The sequence below is a fragment of the Homo sapiens genome, chromosome 12 (assembly GCF_000001405.40).
Source record: "Homo sapiens chromosome 12, GRCh38.p14 Primary Assembly".
Lineage (NCBI taxonomy): Eukaryota > Metazoa > Chordata > Mammalia > Primates > Hominidae > Homo > Homo sapiens.
The window spans coordinates 8,549,903-8,575,131 of NC_000012.12; the positions used below are offsets into that span (position 1 = coordinate 8,549,903).

The 25,229-nt window shown below is 42.0% G+C and overlaps 2 long non-coding RNA genes across 4 annotated transcripts, besides 2 other annotated features; one reads left to right on the plus strand and one right to left on the minus strand.

Annotated features, from left to right (window-relative positions):
• Nucleotides 1-1,494: 1,494 nt before the first annotated feature.
• Nucleotides 1,495-18,034, minus strand: LOC124902872 (uncharacterized). Of its 2 annotated transcripts, XR_007063203.1 has the most exons (3): nucleotides 17,592-18,034; nucleotides 14,826-16,323; nucleotides 1,495-2,238 (listed from the first exon to the last, which is right to left on the minus strand). It is a non-coding gene; the product is annotated as an uncharacterized LOC124902872 (long non-coding RNA). The 2 variants fall into 2 exon arrangements; XR_007063202.1 differs by lacking the exon at nucleotides 1,495-2,238 and having other exon boundaries at nucleotides 14,259-16,323.
• Nucleotides 13,480-14,112: an enhancer, noted in NCBI's record as "OCT4-NANOG-H3K27ac hESC enhancer chr12:8715978-8716610 (GRCh37/hg19 assembly coordinates)". NCBI's record gives its function as "activates a minimal SCP1, AML or CMV promoter by ChIP-STARR-seq in primed H9 embryonic stem cells {active_cell/tissue: H9 hESC(primed)}" and the evidence as "EXISTENCE:reporter gene assay evidence [ECO:0000049][PMID:30033119]".
• On the plus strand, nucleotides 14,589-16,171 carry LOC105369645 (uncharacterized). Of its 2 annotated transcripts, XR_007063201.1 has the most exons (4): nucleotides 14,589-14,679; nucleotides 14,768-14,914; nucleotides 15,021-15,114; nucleotides 15,621-16,171. It is a non-coding gene; the product is annotated as an uncharacterized LOC105369645 (long non-coding RNA). The 2 variants fall into 2 exon arrangements; XR_931342.3 differs by having other exon boundaries at nucleotides 14,674-14,914.
• Nucleotides 14,747-15,378: an enhancer, noted in NCBI's record as "H3K4me1 hESC enhancer chr12:8717245-8717876 (GRCh37/hg19 assembly coordinates)". NCBI's record gives its function as "activates a minimal SCP1, AML or CMV promoter by ChIP-STARR-seq in naive H9 embryonic stem cells {active_cell/tissue: H9 hESC(naive)}" and the evidence as "EXISTENCE:reporter gene assay evidence [ECO:0000049][PMID:30033119]".
• Nucleotides 18,035-25,229: the final 7,195 nt, after the last annotated feature.

Here is a 25,229-nt window from a genome sequence, read left to right on the forward strand (position 1 = left end):
CGGTGGCTCAAGCCTGTAATCCCAGCACTTTGGGAGGCTGAGGCGGGTGGATCACAAGGTCAAGAGATCAAGACCATCCTGGCCAACATGGAGAAACCCCATGTCTACTAAAAATACAAAAAAATTAGCTGGGCGTAGTGGCGAGCGCCTGTGATCCCAGCTAATCAGGAGGCTGAGGCAGGAGAATGCCGTGAACCTGGGTAGGCGGAGGTTGCAGTGAGCCAAGATTGCCCCACTGCACTCCCGCCTGGGCGACGGAGCGAGACTCCGTCTCAAAAAAAAAAAAAAAAAGAATGCAAACTCCATGAAGGCAGGATTGTTTTATTGTTGTGGTCACTTACTCTGCTCTAGTTCCAATGCCTAGAACAAAGTTACAATAATAACTAGTGTTTGTACAGCATTTACTATGTGCTTTGTAACTAGGATGATTATGTAATTTATATTTCTAAGTGGGGCACTTTTGAGAGTAAAGAGAAGGCTCTATTAATAATTATGCCAGAATGATGGAAATAATGAAGACTGTTCCAAGCCAGCTAGGATGCATGGCCACTCTGTGTGTAACTATTCTAGATGTTTTACATGTATTTCCTCATTTAATCTTCATTACAACACTTGAGGTAGTTACTGTTGTTATTCCCATTTGACAGATAAGGAAACTGCAGCATAGACAGATTAAATAATTTAGTTAAGGTCACACAAGCAGTATTTGGGGAAGCCAGGATTTGAGTCCAGGAAGTCAGGGTTCAGTGCTCATGATTATCCTGATATAGAATAAAATATTTGTAGCTGAAAAGAATGAACCAGACATATCCTCTCTGATATTCTCTGTTGTTTTAAGTTCTCTCTATCAGGTTATTCTGAAAACGGGTTATTCACTCTTTTCCTCCATAAAGAATAGCGTAACTACATGACTCATTAATAGCTCTGTCCAAATGAAAGAAAAATCTGAGAGCAATTTGGAGCTTAATGTGAAATGGTGTGCTCACAATAGATTCATATATTAGCTCATTCAAATAAATCTATTCTAGGTATGGGTAAATATAAAAGCAGATACAAATTAATTGAAAGCAATTTTATGTTTAGCATACCAAACAGTTAGCTTTTCATTGAGGAGTGCTCAGGCCTCAAACTCTCTATGTTTTGGGGTTGCTATCTGCCTCATGATGCAAAGTGGAGGGTTTGACTTCCGGGAGGACAAAGTCATTTTCTCCTCTGAGAAAGCCTCCTACATAGTTGCCTTGTGATTTTCTAGGAATAGGAGGGCAGGGAGTGAGGCCTCATGAGTCCGGGCTTTCGGCTGAGGTCGAGAGAGAAGACAGGGATGGTAATCAGAAAATTTAGAGTGGATGTAGCAACCTCCAGAACTCATTGCTGTCAACTCAACCTGGGCATCATGACAAGCAGAGAAGTGGATTCTTTAATAACAATAATAAAAAGAGTTCAACCCTACCCCCGCCCCCAGCCCCAAATACCAGATATTTAGATTATTCTGGATGATATTTTTACAATACTGACTAAAATTCTTTCCAACAAAATATAAGGTCCATTATATGTGACACATTTCTAAGGACATAGTTATCTCAAGTATAGAATTGATGTGGAGAGAAAGGGGAGTGAGACAGAGTAAGGAAAATTTATTCCATTTTTCCACTATTAGAGCCTAACACAATCATTATCTCAAGATTATGAGTGATTTTCTCTGGAAATTTTTGAACTTTCTCTGGAAATTTTTGTTGGAAATTTTTTCTAGAAAATCTTGTTTCTCAGTCTGTCAATGTCCAGATATCTCAATAATGAAGATATTAATACCCACATTCATAGCATTGTTATTTTTTTGTTAACCATTACTCAAAATTATATTTGTCCAAGACCTTCAGAAAACGTATGTCTGGCTCAGGAGAAAGCACATGACATTGATATTTAATATTTAATACACCAACAGACCACAAATTTTAAGCTTCCAACATTTTTACTTGAATTATGCTCACGTATTTTCTAGAGCTTTGAAAGAACACGGAAACAAATAATAGACAACGGCTTAGTCCTTTCCCCTCACTTAGAGATCTTAGCAGAGGAAGTACAAATGAAAAAACATACATCTTTGTGTGTCACTAGAGTTCCAAGTGAAGAGGGACAACATGGTAAATTTTGGAAGGTTCATGAATTTTGGAGTTAGACTTTCTGCATCTAGGCTATGCCGTCTAATTTGTTTTTCTCATTAATCCTCTCTTTCTTCACCTACAAAAATAACGATAAAACGTTTTTCATGACCTTAGTAAAGTGATCAAGATTAAAATAACCAAAGTACATATATATCCACATCAAGAACGTCCTGATAGGGTGCACTGGAAAGAGCACACAATCTGTGGCATCCTTCCCAACAGTGCTTGAGCTCAATCTATTGATGAGAAAACCTCAGACAAACCCATATTGAGGGGGCATTCTGCAAAATAACTGATGAGCACCTTTCAAAAGTGTCAGAGTCACAAAGACAAGGAAGAGCTAAGGAACCATCACAGGTTGGAGGAGACAAAGGAGACAGGACAACTAAATCCAAAGTGCAATCCTGGATTGGATCCTGAAGCTGAGAACTGATGGGAAAATTGGTGACATTCAAAAAAAGTTCTATATTTACTAGGAGTATCATACCAAGGATAATTCCTTCGTTTATTTTATTATTATGTACAATATGTAAAATATTATTATTTTATTATTATGTACGATATTAACATAAGGGAAAACTGCATAAAGGGCAGAAGGGAAGTCTGTGCTATTTTTGCAACTCTTTTATAACTCTAAAGTTATCTTTTCTAAAAAGCTTATTGTGGAGACTTTTAAAACAAAATATTCTGTTTTAAATCTGCAGTTTGATTTTTAATTTTGCTGCTCTTCATAGGCTCAGTTTGTCATATCAGTGAGCCTGAAAGGCTATTTTGTTTGCAGGAACTTGTCAGCGTTACTTTTTACTTCTTTTTAACTTTTCTAATTTATTCAGCCTCTTGGGCCAGGCAATTATTTGAACTGCCAGAGGTGTTGATCTTGTTGACAATCCAAAAACAGAATACAACTCCATGGCTCAGAACTTTTCTAAAATATCAGGTTTAATAGGGCATTAACCAGCCCCTGGAGGTTTGCATGCTTCCAAACATATTTTTCACCTATTGCCTCGGTACTAATTGGAGGCAGGTGCACAGCCAGAGGCCATTAACTTCTCAAGGCCTGTAATTTCTGTTTGCGAGTGAAAGGAGAGAAAAGTAATAACAATATTAATGAATGAACGTGAACTTTTTATCATAGCAATAAAAACAATATTGCCTTTAGGAGATGCCAACTTTGGCATCTGGTCTCAATGGGGTGTTAGGAGACCTGTTGCTCAGCACAATCAGAAAGTTGCTAAAGTTTGTTAGAGTAGCACCTGCTCCCTGTCACTGTTCTCGTGGTCCACATCTGATGCTTCAACCAAGACCCTCTATCATACCGTGTCCATTTGTTTGCCAGGCACCCTCTAGCACCGCCTCTGGTGGATCACCACAGTTAGCTCACCTTAAGAGAGAACTGTTTCTTGTTACTATGTAACATCTGTCCTTCCTACTAACCTACCTCCATGACCTCATATGAGGCATGATTTTGTTAGAAATTAACGAAGACTTCCTTTTATATTTTCAGCTATTATATTTTAGAGAAGTCTTTCAGACCAAGAGAAGTGGATTAGTGGTAGGATTAAATTCACTCTGACAGGTGGATTGAGGCAACTGCACCCAGAAATTTTTTATTCTGTGGATGTCTATCCCAGGAATGCAAGAATTTGAATGTCCTATATTTATAAGTTTGTCATTGATTACCTGAAGATGAGCCTAATGACTTACCTGCTGAGCGGACCTTCCGAAATGTTTTGTTCAGTAAACATGAAGTTAAGTAGATTTTGCATAATTTATAATTACTCAGAAATCCAAAGATTTGGTTGTAGTTGTTAATATTGCCCAGATATTCCTAATTTATGTTTTTCAGTACTTAAAAAATAGAGGACCAGATGTTTTAAGATAAATTATCTAATAAGTAACCAAGAGACACGCAGTTCTGCGGAGAGTTTCTGGACTTTTTAGACCCTTAGAAAACTGAGTGCAATATACTCCAAAGGTTACAATTATAGAGAAATAAGAAAACTTTTGTTCATCAGGTTTGAACTCATCATTTTAATAATAATATAAATATAAAATAAAATATAAAATAAATATAAAATAAAAAATAACTGATTTGGCCAGGTGTGATGGCTCACACCTGTAATCCCAGCACTTTGAGAGGCCGAGGTGGGTGGGTCACCTGAGGTCAGGAGTTCAAGACCAGCCTGGCCAACATGGTGAAACTTCATCTCTACTAAAAATATAAAAATTAGCCAGGCATCGTGGCGGGCACCTGTAATCCTGGCTACTTGGGAGACTGAGGCCAGAGAATTGCTTGAAACTGGGAGGCGGAGGTTGCAGTGAGCCGAGATCGCATCACTGCACTGCAGCCTGGGCAACAAAAGCAAAACCCCATCTCAAAAAAAAAAAAGAATAACTAATTTAACCTAATCACACATTTAATTTGTGGTCCAGATATAGCTAGAATCCATAACTCTAGATGGTCAAGTGTGCTTTCCACCGTAGTGTGCTATTTTTTTTTAACCAATAAAATAGTTCTATGAGATGAACTAATCAGAGCCTGAAGCTCAAGACAATGGTCTGAGGTCCTGGAGTCTGAGTCATAGATCAGGAATTTGCTGAGCAAGCAACCTAAATAGTGAGATAAAGAAAATTCAGAAATTAAATTGAGTAAACAGACCAACACTGATGACTGAGAGAGAAAGCTGCCCTGCTTCTTCCCTCAGTGGATATTTTTGGGGACCATTTGCTATAGCAATGTGGCGGCCCCCATAGAGGCAGAGTAAGTATAGCAGGTGCCTCGCCTGAGCAGGCAGGTGCCTGAGCAGGAGGAGTAAGGCCTTCAGCACATCTCCACAGATGGGGACAAGTCCCTGCAAAAACACTTTCTTTGAGCCTAATGACCTCCCTGCATCCTTAGGCATCATGTGGCATCATTTCCTGCCACTGAGTCATAGCCACTTGTGTCCACGGAGTCTGCAGGGCGGTGCAGGAATGTGGCTGGCCACATAAAGGAGGAGTACATTAATGTTGCTGGATTTGGAGATCTATTTATTAAATGCTCACTTGTTCCAGAGTATTTTGTCACTTGATGAGGAAAGACTATTATGACAAATAATGAAGATTATTTATTAGAACTTACTCTGTGCTAAGCACTCTTCAAAATACTCTACAGGTAGTGGCATACACGGTTGGCCTATGCAAGAACCTTTTTCATTTCCATTTCTTCTTTGTTAGCACAGCCTCCCTTCTAAGAAAGAGGCTAAAAAGGCCACGTACATCCATTCACAGCCTCCTTTGTATGAATGACCATGTGACATAGCACATCATAAGAATTAGCACTCACACTTAACATGTGTCTGGCACTGTTCTAAGCGCTCTGTCACATATATACATACATATGTAATCAATCTTCATATCAGCTCTTGATGTGGATACTATTATTCCCATTTTATAAGTGAAAAATTAACATATAGTGAGGCTTAAGTAACTTGCCCTGGTCACATAGTCAGTCAGCGGTGGAGCCAGGATTCTATTTCAGACAATGCAGCTCTAGAATCCCAGCTTGGAGCTAGCACAATGTTGACTCTCAGGAAGGAGACAAAAGGGGAAGATTTGTTGGTAGGAATTCTGGAAAAGGGTTTTCTCTCTGCCCAAAACAGAAAGATGTAAGAGAAGGCTGCTGTCCTCCTTACTTCCTAGTTTTTAAGACTGAAGTGTTGCAGGTGTGACACTTGAGGCCACAGCATCCTGCAACCATGCACGTGGCAGCACTCGGGACACAGGATGAGGTTACAGTGGAAAGATGTGAAGCACTTGGATTCATTTGACATCAACGAACCACCCATCAAACTCTCAGGCCATCTTAAACTAACGTAATGTGAGATAAATGTTAACAGGTTTTTAACATTTATTTTTAAAGCCAATTTGGTTAGATATTCTGTTTTCTACAGCTAAAATTAGTTAAGAGATCATCTTCTGTTATTTAATCCTCAACCCAACCTTACAAAAAATGTATTTTTGTTATCCTTGTTTTACAAATAAGGGAGTTGAGGTCAAGAGTTTAATTTATGCAGCTGTTGATTGGCAAAGCCAGGATTCGAATAAAAACAGTCTTTAACCAGCATGCTGTGCTACTTTCTGTCAATGTCTTCATTCAAAGACCACCAGGAACACACCTGTAGTTAAACAAGTTGTGTTTTTTTGCAGTGAGGGAAAATGCATGCCATGGAGGACCTTGTGGTGCTTCATAAGAGGGTGTTAGAAATAATTTATTATAGGATTTGGGCTGATGTTAGGTAGTTTGGAGAGGGTTTAAACAAGCAGGGTTTTGTTCTGGATTGGATGCCGTGATGGTTAATATTATGTGTCAACTTGACTGAATTACATGCCCAGACAGCTGGTAAACATTATTTTTGGTGTGTCTGTGCGGGTGTTTCTGGAGGAGATGACCTTTTCAATCAGTAGACTGAGTGGAGAAGATTACCCTCACCAACGTGAGTGGGCATCACCCAATCTGCTGAGGGCCCAGGTAGAACAAAAAGGTGGAAAAAGGAGGAATTTACTCTCTCTTTCTCCTTGAGCTGGGGCTCCATCTTCTCCTGGCCTTGGACATGGAGCTTTGGTTTCTTGGGCCTTTGGACTTGGAGGCTTAGACCAGACTTTCCTACCTCCCAGCCCTGGGGCTCTCAGACCTTTAGCCTCGGACTGAGAGTACAGCATCAGCTCCCCTTGTTCTTAGGCCTTCAAACTCAGGCTGAATCACACCCCTGGCTTTCCTCATTCTTCAGCTTGCTGATGGCAGCTGATGGGACTTTTCAGCCTCCATAATTATGTGAGTCAATTCCCCTAAAAAGTTTCCTTTTCTATATCTCTTTATATTCTATTGACTCTGCTTCTCTGGAGGGCCTTGACTAATGCAGTTGCTGTCAGGAAATGAGACTAATTCTACCATTGAGTATCTTGATAAATCTTTTCTAGAAGGAAGAATAACTACAAGAAGTCTGAAGCTTTATTTGGTAAAGAAACAACACTAACCCATAGTAGTCAGAATAGGAAGATGTGTGGTCATTTTGGTGGTTTGAAAAATGTTTATGCTTTTCTGCTTTTATTGTGTGTCCATGATTGCGAAGTAGTCTTGTTTTCATCTTGCTCCTTGTCTGAAGTTGGTGTTCTGTGACAGTTTTCTGCTGCACAGGACAAGGCCATGGAGAGGTCCTCTGAGTGTCACGTTAGCTCCCAGATGTCAAGGGATGCTTTTCTCGTTCTTGTTTATCCATTTTCAGAAACTGAAGTTTTTTTCTTAAGGTGAGTTTTTTAAATACCATTTTAAGATGTTTTAAAATTTTGCTTTGCATTGGTACTTTTAATACGTGTAGCAAACATCTTCCTAACAATGATATTCATTTTCATACTTTCTTAATCGGAATATGCTGAAAATAATTTGAGATTTCTTAATCACGTAGGGTCATTGTTGTAAAAAGATGTTTTCTGAACACAGTTTAGAAATACAGTGCAATGGATACTGACATGTATATGATTGTTTTTTCCTTGACTATTTAATTCCAGACTTAGTTGTATATTTTGATTTCTCACTATTTTCGGCTTTCTTTTCACTAATGTCACTTTTTGGTTTTTATATTTTTTTCCCTTCAACCTCTTTAGACCTGCTGTATCTAATCCACTGTGAACATGAAAACTGTAAGGCCAATTACATCTAAATTTAACATTATGCTTGATTAGAGACCATAGACAAAGTTCATGGAGTTTGTAAGATTAAAAACAGTTATGAAGTTGGAGCATGCTACTGTAGGTAATGGATCCACTTTAAGAAATCTCTGTTTGAGGCTCAGTGGCTCATGCCGGTAATCCTAGCACTTTGGGAGGCTGAGGTGGGCAGATCATGAGGTCAGAAGATCGAGACAATCCTGGCTAAAACGGTGAAACCCCTTCTCTACTAAAAATACAAAAAATTAGCCGAGTGTCGTGGTGGGCGCCTGTAGTCTCAGCTACTTGGGAGGCTGAGGCAGGAGAATGGCGTGAACCTGGGAGGCAGAGCTTGCAGTGAGCCAAGATCGCACCACTGCACTTCAGCCTGGGTGACAGAGTGAGACTCCATCTCAAAAAAAAAAAAAAAGGAATTTCTGTTCGAGACCGGATGCGGTGGCTCACACCTGCAATCCCAGCATTTGGGGAGGCTGAGGCAGGCAGATCACTTGAGATTGAGAGTTCGAGACCAGCCTGCCCAACATGGTGAACCCCATCTCTACTAAAAATACAAAAATTAGCTGGGCCTGGTGGTGCACGCCTGTAATCCCAGCTACCCTGGAGGCTGAGCCATGAGAATCACTTGAACCCAGGAGGTGGAGATGCAGTGAGCCGAGATTGTGCCACTGCACTCCAGCCTTGAGGGCTTGCAGATGTGAAGAATCTTTTTATCTATACCCTGCTGTAAAAGAAGTTCATTAGACACATTTCTGGCCAAACCATCTACAAAAGTAGCTGTTTGTACTGGTTCAGTAATAGATGCTACAGCAACACTAGCAGTTGCTAGGATGACTATGGCTGAGACTTATAAAGGCTACAAGTGTAACTGTGAATCTCTTGTGTCTGACCTGGAACAGGGCACGTTCTAAGGTGTCAAGGGCAGAGGAACCTTGCCAATCATGTGTTAAACTGACTAGTAGGAAAGCCTCAGATTGTCTCCTCAATACCATGACATTAGGAATATTTAAATTAGATATAATTAGAGATACAAGAGGCAAACCAAGCCTGTCCCTGCACTCAGGTCACAAACGTGGAGTTTTGGGGTGTAATAGAAATATTGGCTCCCATAAGGAAAACATATGGATGGGTAGTGCAAATCAGGCACTGATCAGTGTCATTATGGAAAACGGTCATAGTATAGTTGTGACTAGAATTATGATACGTCCCACACCAGATGGTAAGGGGTGTGCTGAGATGTCCCAGGTGCCATAAAGTGTCTTGAGGTGGGACGGACTCTACTTGGGGTCTGAGATATCCCATCCCCCCTTCAGCCCAAATTATAGGGGAATGGGACTTGGCTATGAAACTATCATGATGCCATGATAGACGCAGACATCAGTACGATCGCCCTGCAAATGGCTGTGGGGGTTCCAGTCTAAAATGTTATAATTGCCTAACTGGAGGCTACGAGCCTGTTCCCCATGACAGACCTCCCAGCTAAAGTGGAATCCATTATTTTCCTGGCTTTGTTCTTTAGCACAGGCAGGAATGTTTGGGAGAGTGGTATTGATTGCATTGCCAGTTTGAGGCTACCTGGAACTAAGGCTGTTAAGGCATTTCCTTTGCCATGATGTAGCCATAATTGTGTTTGGGCAGGTACACAGTAAGGGTTAGAACTTTTATCATTTGCATGCAGTGGGAGGATAGCAGAGTGATATGTAGTGTTACCTGGCACCTTAGTCCCATGTGTGCTATTAATGAGGGACCCCCACTGCGGGTAAATCTATCCCTCCCAGCCAAGCAATTATGTTATTAGAGGCTGGGAAGCAGGTGTCTGCCCAGGTGGCAGGGCAAAAGAAAGCCGTATCTAAGATATGAGCCCAACAGAGTGTAGCAGGTACAGGTTAAAGACAAAGTGAGAGCATAAAAAGAATCAATACACTACGCGAGTTGTGATGTACAACAGAGAGCATAGTAAGCAACAAATTATCTGGAGTGAATGGTGTCTGTGTCCAGAGCAGGATTTGCTCGGCCTCCTGAGTTATCCTCTTCAGGATCCCCTAGGTAATATCTGAGGCGTGTGTCATCCGAGGAAGCTGCATCATCCAGGGCTGTTGGTCCTGTAGGGTCATTTTCTTCATTTCTGGTACTGGGTTGGGTCCTAGCCACGCCACGGTATGCTTTGATGTGTCGTGCTGGAATCCAGAGAGGACCCGAGGGAATGTGAACACAAGCATATCCTCTCCTCAACGTTAACAATTCATTTGGACCACACCATATATTACTGTTTACGTCTTTCCATAAAACTGCAGGTTTTACATCTTGAGAGGTTTTAGCAAAGTGCTTTTCTACAGCTGATTAAAATTTATCATCTAAATTTTAAAAGTTAAGGGTAAATAAGGCTTGTGCTAGTAGTGTTGCAGGGTCCTTACTCATATTCCCACTTTTTTGTTTTCTGAGCATATTTTTAAGGATGGAATGGATACATTTTACTATGGCCTGTCCTTGGGGGTTATACGGGATGCCTGTGGAATGTTGGATGTTCCGCGTGTGACAAAATTGTTGAAATTGTGAGCTGGCATAAGCCAGACCATTGTCAGTTTTCTTTGTTGTGGGCCACCCCGTAAATGCAAAAGTTAAAAGAAGATGTTTAATGACATATCGGGTGGACTCTACAGGAAAGGCATGAGCGTTAATTGAGAATTGGTATCAATGGATACATGTACATATCTAAGTTTTCCAACTTCAGGGATATGTGTAACATCTGTTTGCCATAACTGATTAAGTTCTAGTCCTCTAGGGTTAATACCTGTTGAAGGAGAGGATGTACCTGTGAGCTGGCAATCTGGGCATCGTAGGATAATTTGTTTAGCTAGTCTCTGGGTAAAGTCGAAATTGTTTAGATAAGTTTCTCCAGTTTTGGTGAAAAAATTGATGTGATTGGGGGGCTTGGTCAAGCAATGATGTCTTAACCTGTAGGTCTGATTGATCATTGCCATATGCCAATGGGCCAGGCAGTGAGCTGTGGGCTCGAATATGTGTGATAAAAATAGGATGTGTACGTTGACCTAGGAAATGCTGAAGTCAGAGAAAAAGTGCACACAGGGTGGGCTCCAGAGTGGACTTAATAAGGGCTGTGTAAAGGTTCTGCAATAAATTAAACAGAGTAAGCAGAGTCACTAACAATATTGATGGGCTGAGCAGAAAAAGTTTCCAAGGCCAATATTAAGGCTCCAACCTCAACTTTTTGAGTGCTAATAAATCCAGAACAAGTGAGGGAATTATGCCATCTCCACCAGACAGCTGCTTTTCCATCTTTACCAGAGCCATCAATAAACAGTGTTAAAGCATTAGGTATGGGGGATTGAACTATTTTTGTAGGCGAAAGCACAGAAGTACGAGATAAGAACTGAAGGAGTTTGTCAGCAGGAAGGGCGTGCTTTATACGGCCTGTGTAATCAGAGAGTGCTATTTGCAGGTCCATAGATAAGGGCAATACTGCTTCAAATTGCTTTTTACTTAAAGGAATTCTGATGATATTAGGGTCATAACCTAGTAATAGATTGCCTTGTCTGCAGCCTAAATAGATGACTTTACTAACTAACTGGATATAGGGAGAGACTGTTTTAGTCCCAGTATGTGAGCAAAAAACCCATCCTAGGACAGCCCTGGGGTCATCTGTCCTATTAGCCCTGTAGAGGTGTGTTTAGTGGGAAAAACAAATAATTGAACTGAATACCATGGATCAATGCAATCTAGTTGCCTCTAAGAAATAGCTTGCTCTATCTCTTCAATTTCCCTTTGTGCTGCAGGAGTTAAATACCTAGAGAGTCTAGGGCAGCATTGTCTTTTAAGATAGACAACAGGTTCTGTAACTTATCAGTAGTTATGCCCAAGGTTGGGCGAAGCCAGTTAATATCACCTAGTCATTTCTGATAATCATTCAAGGTATGTAAGTTGCCAGTATTTAATTTAACATTTTGGGGTCTTACTGACCGGGTAGTTAGTATATACTCAAGGTATTTCCAAGGAGAGGAAATTTGTACTTTTTCAGGTGCTACGATTAAACCTCTTAACTGTGTATTCCTTATGACAGAGGCACGTAACTTTAAAAGTACTGGCTCTGTTGGGGCTGCTAGTAAAATATCATCCATAAAATGAATAATCTTGCAATTAGGAAATTCTTTTCTACTGGGGAGCAAAGCCTGATTTACATGATACTGACACATGGTAGGACTGCTCAGCATTCCTTGGGGTAGCACTTTCCAATGAAATCGGTGAGCTGGCCTTTCATTATTGATAGCTGGTATTGTAAACACAAATTTTTCTCTGTCCTGTTCTGCAAGGGGAATAGTATAAAAACAGTCTTTTAAGTGAATAACGATTATAGGCCAATCTCAAGGAATCGCTGCAGGGGAGGGGAGCCCCTACTGAAGGGGCCCCATAGGTTGCAAATTAGCATTGATAGCACGCAAGGCATGCAAAAGTCTCCATTTACCAGACTTTTTGGGGATGACGAAAATGGGCGAATTCCAAGGGTTGTTTGACGGTTCTGTATGGCCGGCTTTTAATTGCTCCTCAACTAATTCATGGGCTCTTTGCAATTTCTCTCCCTTTAAAGGTCACTGTTCTACCCAAATAGGATTTTGAGAGAGCCACGTCAGGGGCAGGGGAGAGATAACAACAATGGCCATTATTAGAAAGAGGTCTGCAGAGTGACCGCAATTAACCCTCTCGTAAATGGGCTGGTGGCACCGCCTACTGGCCTGGAGGTCAAACTGCACAGCTCAATGTAAAACCTGCAGAGTAAAGTGCACCTGGCTATCTATAGAAGCAAAACCAAAAGACCCTACCCAACATTTCCACAGTCACGCCCCCAGGGGAAGGGGAATAATAGTGGGAAAAAAACCCATCAAAATGAAAATAAATTTAAAAATAAGAAGTGTCAGCTTCCCCAAATGAGAAGAAACCAGAGTAAGGATTATTGCACCATGAAAAATCTGAATGCTGTGACACCACCTAAGGATCAATAGACCTTAACCAAGATGAACACTCAGAAATGACAGATGAAAAATACAAAGTATGGATTGCAAGGAAGCTCAATGAGATCCAAGAGAAGCTTGAAAACCAACACAAAGAAACCATGAAAGCAATCCAGGAGATGAAGAGATAGATATCTAAAAAACAGAAGTTCTAAAAATGAAAAATTCACTTAAAGATTTTCAAAATATATTTGAAAGCTTTAATAATAGATTAGGTCAAGCAGAAGAAGGAATTTCAGAGCCTGAAGACTGCTCTTTCAAATTAACTCAGTCAAATAAAAATAAAGAAAAAAAGAATTTTTAAAAAATGAAAATTCAAGAAATATGGGATTATGTAAAGTGACCAAACCTATGACTTACAGGCATTCTTGGAAGAGAAGAAAAGATAAGCAACCTGGAAAGCATATTTAAAAGAATAATTCAGAAAAAATTATCTAATCTTACTAGAGAAGTAGACTTCCAGGTACAAGAAAGTCAGAAAATACCTTTAAGATACAAAATGCCACTGCACTCCAGCCTGGGCGACAGAGCAAGACTCTGTATCAAACAGAAACAAAAACAAAACAAAGATATGCTTGCAAAAATATGAAATGGCAGATGCACATGGTTATTTGCACCATTATTTTCAAAAGTCAAACTGGAGCACCATCTGAATATTCATCAAATTCAGGACTGATGAGGCAGAGCAACACAATGGATTATTATGCAGATATACAAGAGAATGCGGAAGCTCTGTAAAGTAGGGTGTGAACTCCAGGACACAGGGTGAAGTGAAGAAAGCAAGGTGCAGAAATTGCACACAGTATGCCATCTTTTGTACTGGGGAAAGGAATACAAAGCAGCGGGGAAAGGAATGTGTATGCATGTATATGTAAATACAGTCATTAAAACTGAAAACAAAGTGGCACAAATAAACCTAATTCCCTATCGAGTTGGCATTGCTGCCTTAACCACACAGAGGAAAGTAACTGACTTCAGAGCACAGTATCTTCACTGTATTTCTTCAGTATGATATAATCCAAAGACACAAATACTGCATAGACATCTCAATGTCACTTGAAGTGAAATAACATAAAAATGGGAACAGACTCCTGCTGCTGCTCCAGAAAGATGAACATGAGAAAGGGACCATTATCTCTAATGTTTTCTCATGTAGAAAATGCAGGGAATAGCTTAAATCGAAGTTCAACTTTGGGAGCTGATAATTGAGTGAAAGTCTTCTTCCTTGATTGCCCTGGGAAGAAATCTTCATTTTTGGTTTGCAAGACCATGAAAATGAGACAATAAATACAACAAATGAAATACTTTACACTCAAAAACTATTTTTAAAAAAACAGACAAAATATAGAAAATAAGTATAAGTAACATATTCAAAGAGACATTAAACGACATTTTATTAATTTTAAAAGCTATAGATTATAGAAATAAAAATTTTCCGTATGAAATTTCCCTCCTAAGGGTCGGCCCAAGTCCAGGACCTGTCTGGGAATTGTGGACATATCGGTAGGACACGGGCAAGGATTGCCATCTCGCTCAGCACCTGTTTCCTTGAACGATGAGAATAACCCATCTCTCCTGTTTTAAGTGTGATTTGTCATATACATCAATAGGCATCTTGGCTCAACATACGAAAGCCCCTTTCCACAGAGACAGCTGCCTCCAGCCTGAAGAAGTTGCCACAGGAGGTAGAAGGAGGTCCCTTGCCCATGCCTGGGAGACCCAGCCAGAGTGGACAGGGAGGCGGCCCGGGCCGGGGTGCCAGACTCAGCAAATAAACACAGCATGCCCAGGTAACTCTGAATTTCAGATAACCAACGAATAACTTTGTGTGATACTATATTTGTACTCAAAAGTAACTCGTTTATCTGAAATTCAAAGTTGACGGCGCATGTGGTACTGTATTGAATCTGGCAACGCTCCACCTTGGTTTTCCTACCCGGGTTTGTGGAAGGGGCTCCCCCTGCCCCGCAGGTGCCGCCCCGAGGAGGTGGAGGAGGAGGAGCCGGGCACTGACTGGGGACCCAGGTGAGTCTAGCAAATGACAAGGCCCAACGGTCAAAACCGCCTCAGTAATGCGCTCGTCCAAAGCACGCACTTAACGCTCAATCCTGGTGTCGCGTCCCGTTGCCAGGCAACGAAAGCAAGCGCTGCAAAGACGAAGGGGAGCGCCCAAGGATGAGGAACGTTCCAAGACACTGAGTGATTTGCTGAAAATCACACATCTAGTAAGTGGCAGAATCAGATAAGGAAACTGCAGCATAGACAGATTAAGTAATTTAGTTAAGGTCACACAAGTAGTATTTGGGGAAGCCAGGATTTGAGTCCAGGAAGTCAGGGTTCAATGCTCATGATTATCCTGATATAGAATAAAATATTTGTAGCTTAAAAGAATGAACCGGACATATCCTCTCTGATATTCTCTGTTGTTTCAAGTTCTCTTCATCAGGATATTCTGAAAAGGGGTTATTCACTCTTTTCCTCCATAAAGAATAGCGTAACTACGTGACTCATTAATAGCTCTGTCCAAATGAAAGAAAAATCTGACAGCGATTTGGAGCTTAATGTGAAATGGTGTACTCACAATAGATTCATATATTAGGATGGAAGGGTGTGCGAGATCATTTCTCCTGGATAGACAGACCCCCACTCCTGGGGGAGGGGTCACTCCTTGATTGAAAAAGAATGTTGCTAATTATACTCATGTTTGTCTTATGTTATTTACTAATTCTAGGATGCAAAGCCAGAATGCGAGCAGTGACCACCACACTTGACAAATCCGTTGTTGCACACATTTGTACTCTTCAATCAACAAAACCTGATGCAAAAAACAGAAAAGGGGGAGATGTACATGCATTTTCCCTCACTGCAAAAAAAACACAACTTGTTTAACTACAGGTGTGTTCCTGGTGGTCTTTGAATGAAGACATTGACAGAAAGTAACATAGCATGCTGGTTAAAGACTGTTTTTATTCGAATCCTGGCTTTGCCAATCAACAGCTGCATAAATTAAACTCTCGACCTCAGCTCCCTTATTTGTAAAACAAGAATAACAAAAAGACATTTTTATAAGGTTGGGTTGAAGGTTAAATGAAATAACAGAAGATTATCTCTTCACTAATTTTAGCTGTAGAAAACAGAAGCCAATCGAAAGAGCTCCCAGTCCAAAGCTGGAACAACTTGAACAACAAAATAAATAATGTAGCATTGGATTACAAACCAACCATAAAACAAATATCCATGAGTCTATACTGATGTCAATAAATGAATAAATGTGGGAAAATAGACAAATCTCCTTTCTCATACAGAAGGATTCCAAATAATTTGTGTAGATATTTCACTTTTAACTTGTTCTGTGGCTACGCATTAAGTCAGGATTTCCTTTCTTGCATAAGGAGGACAAGGAAGTTTATTGGACAGCATGTCAGTTCTCTTCACTCCATGCAACAACAAAATGAGGAAATTATGAAATGGTAAGCATCAACACAAATAGGCTGGCCATGGGGAAATAGGAGAGTTTTTTTTAAATGTTGTTTCGTTTTGTTGGACCAAATGTCTCTAGTTTCTTCAAGGCATAACTCATCCCCCAGTTTTTCCTTGACAATATGGAGCTCACCTCTGCACTCTCATAGCCAACTGAACTCATGGCAGGATGCCATGTTACTTGGGTTAATTTCTGGAAAGCTTCTACATACCTATTAGGGCCATCTGAAAACCTGCCAAGATCCCCCTTAGTTTGCAATAAATCCTGAAGAGAAAAGGGCACCTGGATCTTAACAGGGCCATATTCATCAGGCATCTGTTGTAGGGGCAGGAGTGAGACTGGCACCTGCCTAAAATGAGGATTTCTAGAGGTACCTAGAGGTATCTCTGGGGCTTGCTTCCCTATTTCCTTGGGATTGCCCCTTGTAACCTCTCCTGAGATGGCCACTAGGAGGGCTGAATCAATCCTACAATGTTGGCAAAGATCCAGGTTAACATGCAAGGCAAAGAAGGCCTGCACATAAGGGACCTAGGACCCTTTGCCCTCATGTTTACAGAAAAGCTTCCTTCCTGAGGCAAGGCTTCTCTTCTGTGCCTCAAGGTGCTTGGCACTAAGTTGGCAACCAAGTAAATTACAAGAACATTTTCACCACAAATTTACATACAGATACCAAGACACACTTTGCTACATCTGTGCTACTCTTACACTTTGGTGACCAAGCCAAATGCTCATTCCACCCAGTAATATCTCTGGCTTGCAACAACATCCTTTACATTTAACATCGTATATAAAAGAGATAGGAACCATGATAGCCATGAAAGAAAGAAAAGAACAATAGGAAAGGCTGAAGGTCCTAGTGCGGACACCCTAATGGGCAGTTGGGGACTGGAGTTAGTCCAGGAGCCTTTGAATAACACCAAAGTGTAGCCTTGGCCAGATACCCTCAGTTGCCCCAGGACCTCCTTCCAGTCCCATGAGATGGCTAGACCTCCATGAAGGGAAATTGGGTTAGAACAAAGCCAACATTCCCAACACCTGAGGTTGATGGGGGATTGACAGTGTCCCTCCCCAGCAAGCCTGTCCTTCATGTCTTAAGTTCTGCAGCTGCACTAGTTGCTTTTAACTGGTTGACAGAAGCCTGGTATTTTTCTTTCATTTTGACTATTGTGGAGTTTAGAGACTCCAAAAGAAAGGACAGAAAGTAGATCCACTTTTACTTACCCTTTTGGAGATCCCAGATGAGCCCCCAAAATGTTACAGTGTCACTGCCAGTGGTGCCAAATCCTGCCTATGCAGACAAGTGGAAGGTGAACAAGACAAAGAAGAGCTTTATTGAGTGTTACAGCTCAGAGAAAATCCACAGTGGGTTGCTCCTCTCTGTAGGCAGATCATCCAATCAAGTGTCCAGCTCTCAGCAGAGAGGAGGCTCTGAAGAGGGTAGCTCCTCTCTGCCCACTGGTTGCCCCATTGTCTGCTGTTCTTAGCAGAGCGAAGACCTTGGAGAGGGTGACTCCTCTCTGCAGGCAGTTCATTCAATGTCTCTGCAGGTCTCTGAAGCTCTCACAGAGAAGGTAGCTCCTCTTTGCAGCTGGTTGTCCAGTCCTCTCTCAGTCCTCTGTCCTCTGCCCTTCTCTGGCTGAGCCCAGGGCTTTTCTCTGCCCTCTACTTTACTCTGGCTGAGCCCTAGGCTTTTATGGACCTCAGATGGGAGGAAGTGCCTGCCGATTGGTCCATGACTGGCCATGGGTGGGCCTAGAGGAGATACCACATGTCCCCGCTCCAGTCTGTGGGACTGGCAGCTGGGCCCCCAGCCTTCAAGGCTTCCCTGGCCTGAAGGAGAGGCCTTACTGGGGACCGCCCCCTTCCACCCAGGAATCTGTGCACCTCCCCACTGCCATTTTTGGTCCCTGGCTCAGCTGCAACCCCACCCCGAGATTGAAGCAGGTGGTGGGAGAGAAGAGAGGCCAGGCAGTGGAAGCATATCCCCTCAAGCCTGCAGGGACTGGGGGGCCTTCCCAAGGCCTGAAGGTGAAGGCTGCAGAGATGCCTGGCCCTGTACCTGGGAGGGTGGCTGCAGAGGCATCCGGGGAGCTCCCACACTACCAACTCAGAAGGGGTGGGGGTCCCACTTGTCCCCAGCTCCTGCCTGTTCTGTGGATTAGGAGGCCCAGGTCTGTAGCCATGGGTGGGGCAGCTGCAGCTGCACCTGGGAGGGCAGATCCTGTCTGCTCCAGGCCCCCTCCAAGAGCACAGGGAGGCTCAGATCCACAGTGGCAGTTTGGACAGCTGCAGCCTTGCCCAGGAGGTGGGGCTCCTTCGTGCAGGAGACCTGGGTCTGCAGCCACCATTCTGGCAGCTGCAGCAACACCCAGGGAACTCTGGCCTCAACTCAGAAGGGGGCGCAGCTCCCACGGGCTCCTTGGAGTGTGCAGCCCCTCCTGCAGGCAGTGTGATGGCAGCAGCTACTGCCATCACTGCTAACCAAAAATCAGTCATGTGGCTCCAACTAACTAAGACTAAGAAGAAGACTAAGAAACAGTCCAGCTGCATGTCTAGGGAAAAATGAAAATGGAGTTTGGACACAGCATCCATCAATAGATCAAGAAAATGGGGTATATGGGCTGGCTCAGTGGCTCACACCTGTAATCTCAGCAGTTTGGGAGGCCAAGGTGGGAAAATTGCTTGAGGCCGGGAGTTTGAAACCAGCCTGGGCAACATAGCAAGGCCCTGTCTCTAAAAAATTAAAAAATTTGAAATTAGAAAAGTAAAAATGTGGTATACATATACAATGGAATATTATTAAGCCATGAAACAGAATAAAATCCTGCAATTGAAGCAACATGGATAGAACTGGAGGTCATTATGTTACATAAAATAAGCCAAGGACAGAAGGACAAATATCACATGTTGTTGCTCATATGTGGGAGCTAAAAAAGTGGTTCTGATGAAGATTGAGAGTAGAATGATGGTTACTGGAGGTTGGGAGGGGTAGGAAGGAGGATGAGATGAAGAGAGGCTAATTAATGGGTACAAATATATAGTTAGATAGAAATAAGATCTAGTGTTTGATAGATCAATCCGGTGACTATAGTTAACAATACTCTATTGTACATTTTAAAATAGCTGGCAGAGAATAATTCAAATGTTCCTAGCATAAAGAAAAAATAATTATTTAAGATGGTGATATCCCAATTACCCTGTTTTATCTTTACACATTATATGACTGTATCAAAATATCACATGTGGGCCGGGCATGTTGGCTCATGCCTGTAACCCAGCATTTTAGGAGGCTGAGGCAGGAGGATGGCTTGAGCCCAGGAGTTTCAGACTGACCTGGGCAATATAGCAAGACTCCGTCTCCACAAAAGACATGGTAGCATGTGCCTGCGGTCCTAGCTACTTGGGAGGCCAAGAAAGGAAGATCACTTGAGTCCAGGAGTTTGAGGCTGCAGTGAGCTATGATCTCACCACTGCATTTCAGCCTTGGCAACAGAGTGAGACCCTATCTCAAAAATAACAAAACAAAAACAACAAAAAAATCACATTTACCCTGAAAACATCTTCATCTATTATATATTAATTAAAAGTTAAAAAGAAGAAAGAAAGCAAAGGAGAACACATAGAGATATAGCGTCCCTATCACAATGAGAAAACTAGGAAATAAACATGCAACTTGGCCAGGGTCAGAGAGAAAATACCGTGGCAGAAATGGTACTAAAACTTAATGTGGTTTTTTTTCTTCTCCTGAAGCATTCAAGATCTGCCAGGAATCAATATATCAGCATAATGGAGTCAGATTGGCTCGGTCATTTTTCTGGCTTGCCCTTCCTGGGTTGGTGTGGCAATAAGGCAGTCTCTTTTGGGGGCATGAAAAGAGCTGGGAACTTGCTAGCTGTCCATATGAAGATTATACATTTTTTAACTGCTGTGACAGATATTGTTTATAAATTGTTCTTACGAAAATATTTATAGTGGGTGACCCGGGTGCAGTGGCTCACACCTGTAATCCTAACACTTCAGGGAGGCTGAAGTGGGCAGATCACCTGAGGTAAGGAGTTAGAGACCAGCCTGGCTAACATGGTGAAACCCCGTCTCTACTAAAAATATAAAAAGTAGCTGGGTGAGGTGGCGCATGCATGTAATCCCAGCTACTCAGGAGGCTGAGGCAGGAGAGTTACTTGCAGTGAGGTTGCAGTGAGCCAAGAACACACCACTGCACTCCATCCTGGGTGACAGAGCAAGACTCCATCTGAAAAATGTATGTATATATATATATATATATATGTGTGTGTGTGTGTGTGTGTGTGTGTGTGTGTGTGTGTATACGTGATATACACGTGTATATATATACATATATATGTGAAAAAATGTATATATGAAAAAATCCCCTCAAAGTTAGAAGGCAGTCTCTCACATGAGCTGATATGTTTCCTTACATTATACAAGAACAATGTAAAGCATTTTTTTAAAAAAATTATCATATGTTTTGGTTTCGAAGAAGCTGAGAGCTAAATTTTATATAAATCTGTACCTTGGCCAGGCACGGTGGCTCACACCTGTAATCCTAGCACTTTGGGATGCCAAGGTGGGTGGATCACCTGAGGTCAGGAGTTCAAGACCAGCCTGGCCAACATGGCAAAACCCCTCTCTACTAAAAATACAAAAATGAGCCAGGTGTGGTAGCACATGTCTGTAATCCCAGCTACTCAGGAGGCTGAGGAAGGAGAATCGCTTGAACCCAGAAGGTGGAGGTTGCAGTGGGCCGAGATCGTGCCACTACACTCCAGCCTGCGCGATGCGAGCAAGACTCCATCTCAATAAAAAAAAAAGAAAAATCTGTAGTTTTGTCATATATGTGAATATGTTCCTTCACACTCCATACTCCAATTACTTATCATCTGTCATTTTATTTGTACATTAACATTTTTTGCTAATTTGAATAAATAAATTCAAATTTGGGAATTTATTTGGGATTTGAGAAGTTGTTATAGATTAGTCATAAAAACATGAGTGATAAGCAATATAAGAACTATACGAGGGCCAGGTGTGGTGGCTGTCTATAATCACAGCACTTTGGGAGGCTGAGGAGGAGGGATAGCTTGAGCCCAGGAGTTCGGGACCAGCCTGGGCAACATAGCAAGACCCCATCTCTAAGGAAAGTATATTTGAAAAAAAAAAACTATGTGAGAAATAAAGTTATGAAGCAATACAGGAAGGACCTAAAAATTGAAATAGATAACATATTAAATAATTCCATGCCTCCAATCATAATAATACTGGAAGGATAAATTTGGGTTGATTCGAGTGATAGCTGAGATAGATACAAATTTTCTCAATCTTTTTAATTTCTTTCTTGCCAAACACACCTATTCTGTTGCCTTTGCTCCCATGGTTTTGTTATCTGACTCTTCTCATGTCCACTATTCTTCTTCTTCTTCTTTTTTTTTTTTTTTTTTTTGAGACAGGGTCTCACTCTGTTGCCCAGGCTGGAGTGCAGTGGCATGATCTCAGCTCACTGCAACCTCTGCCTCCTGGGTTCAAGCGATTCTTGTGCTTTAGCCTACCTAGTAGCTAGGACTACAGGTGTGTGCCATGGCTAATTTTTGTTTTTTTGGTAGAGTTGATGTTTCACCATATTGGTCAGGCTGGTCTGGAACTCCTGGCCTCAAGTGATTCTCCCACCTTGGCCTCCCAAAGTGCTGGGATTACAGGCGTGAGCCACCTCACCTGGCCTCATGTCCACTATTCTTATCAAGCTAATTTCTCCAGTATTCCATAATTCCATAGCTCTATTTTTTACTAATCCACTAGACTCGCTTTCTTCACCTTTATATTGCCAGCACCTATGTTAATGGCTAATGTAAGACCTGCCTGTCTACAGCAATCACTTAATAAATGATGAAAAGGGAATTATTAAAAGCAATGTGAGATGGTACAAGGAGCACTGTCTATATGTCAGAAAGCCTAAAAATGTTCATACTTCTGTCACTTCAACACTGCAACCCTGGACAAATACATTAACTTGTCTGAGCTTTAATTTCCTCAACTATCAAATCAAGACGATATGTGGCTTAAGGAGAAAGAAACTTGAATGCCAGAAACTCTTATTTCTCTCTGTCATATTGATGATCTATTAAAGTGGAACAAATTATACCAACACTTAGTGGCTTACACAAGGCACATTTAATTATCTCACAGTTTCTGTGGATCAGGAGTTTGCGAGTAGGTTACCGTGGTACTCAGGTCTCTCATTTGGTTTCAGTCAGGCTGTCTGCAGGGGTTTGCTCTTCTGAAAGCTGGGCTCATGTGAGAGGATCTGCTTCCAAGATGCAACACTCACATGGCTATGGGCAGGAGGATTCAGTTCCTTGCCGTGTAGGCCTCTCCATAGGATACTTGTGTGTCATCACACAACAAGTATTTGCTTAAATATTCATGCAACCTCCTTAGAAGAAGATAGCCATTAAAAAAAAAACACACACAGTAACAATAGCACGTAACCTTGGTTTCCTGTGGGAAGGGCCACTCCCTGGTTGTCTAGAGACAGTGGAAACAACCTAACCCTGACTATTCTTCCTCAATTTCTTTATGCTTGCTTTTCCTCTACTTGTCTTTAAATGATGGTATTCTCCAGAGTCTATCTGTGGCTTTATCTCATAATATACACTTGCAATAGGAATTCTCATATATACCTCTATATTCCAACCACCTTTATGTTGACATCTTCTAAATCTGCATGTTTAATTAGGCCTCTCTCCTAAGAAAATTATATTGAATTCCCTACAAAACATCTGTAAGCATGAAGGCAGAAGCAATTCAAACTCAGTTTTTAAAAAGTAGATATTCTTTTTTTTTTTTTTTTTTTTTTTTTGAGAGAGAGAGAGAGAACCTTGCTGTGTCTCCCAGGCTGGAGTGCAGTAGTGTGATCTCGGCTCACTGCAACCTCCACCTCCCCTGTTCAAGCAATTCTCGGATTACAGGTGGCTCACTCCTGTAATTCCAGCCTCCTAGTAGCTGAGACTACAGGCATGCACCACCACACCCAGCTAATTTTTGCATTTTTAGTAGAGACAGGGTTTCTCCATGTTGGCCAAGCTGGTCTTGAACTCCTAGCCTCAAGTGATCCACCCACCTTGGCCCCCCAAAGTGCTGGGATTAAAGGCGAGAGCTACCGCGCCCAGCTTAAAAGGAGATATTCTTGATTTTGTAAAATGACTCCAGTATTTACCCAGTCACTCAAACCAAAGAACAGATGCCTAGAAATCTCACTCTTCTTTTCACATGCTGCCTTTCCTCCACTGTAGGACAGGCAAGAAATGGTATCAGGGTAAGATAGTAGATATACAGAGAAGGGGATGGAATCCAGAGAGTTATTAGGATGTAAAAGTAGGGAAGATAATGAATTGAACATAGGGGTTGCAGGAGAAGAATGGGAATACAGTTGGCTCACTCCAGTAATTCCAGCACTTTGCGAGGCTGAGGCAAGTGGATCACTTGTGGTCAGGAGTTCGAGACCAGCCTGGCCAACATAGTGAAACTCCGTCTCTACTAAAAATACAAAAAAATTAGTCGGGTGTGGTGGTGCATGCCTGTAACACCAGCTACTCGGGAGGCTGAGGCAGAAGAATCGCTTGAGTCTGGGAGGCAGAGGTTGCAGTGAGCCGAGATCACACCACTGCACTCCAGCCTGGGTGACAAAGCTAGACTCCATCTCCAAAAAAAAAAAGAAACTTTAAGAAGTTGTCAGCCAGGCACAATGGCTCATTCCCGTAATCCCGGAGGATTGCTTGAATCTAGAAGTTCCAGACCAGCCTTGGAAGGATCAGTTGAGCCTGGGAATTTGAGACCACTAGCCTGGATAACATAGTGAGACTCTGTCTCTACAAAAAATTTTTTAAAAATTAGCCAACTGTGGTGGCGTATGCCTGTAGTCTCAGCTACTTGAGATCCTGAGGTGAGAGGATCACTTGAGCCCCAGAGTTTGAGGCTGCAGTGATCCCTGATCATGCCACTGGATGACAGAACAAACCCTGTCTCAAAATAAATAAATGAATAATAAATAAATAAATACACTTACTCATCTCCATCTCCAGCTACTTGGGGAGGGGATAGTGAGTTGACAAGATAAATAGAGCAGATTTTGTTTGTTTGTTTGTTTTTTGGAGACAGAGCCCGTCCAGGCTGGAGTCCAGTGGTGCAATCTCAGCTCACTGCAACCTCTGCCTGCTGGGTTCAAGCGATTCTCCTTCTTCAGCCTCCCGAGTAGCTGGGATTACAGGCACACGCCCAGCTAATTTTTGCATTTTTAGTAAAGACGGAGTTTCACCATATTGGCCAGGCTGGTCTCAAACCCCTAACCTCAAGTGATCCACCTGCCTTGGCCTCCCAAAGTGCTGAGATTACTGCACCTGGCCTAGAGCAGATTTACTATACTGTAGAGTTATAAGAGCCCATTTGGAATTTTGGTTATAAGTTTATAGTGGTCATAGTTTGTATTTTTTTTTAAGAGATGGATCTCACTCTGTTGCCCAGGGTGGAGTGCAGTGATGCAATCATGGCTCACTGCAGCCTCAACCCCTCAAGGGATCCTCTTGCCTCAGCTCCCAAGTAGATGGGACCACAGGCATGCACCTGGCTAATTTGTTGTTGTTGTTGTTGTCCAGGCTGGTCTCAAACTCCTATCCTCAAGCAATCCCCCTGTCTTGGCTTCCAAAGTGTTAGGATTACAGGAGTGAGCCTATAGTGGTTATAATTTTATAGTCTCTGATCTGTTGTTTGACTGTCTCTAGTGCTCAGCTGCTCAGGTGCAGGCATGGAGAATACTGATGGTTAGGGCTAACCAGGTTTAGAATTTTGGCA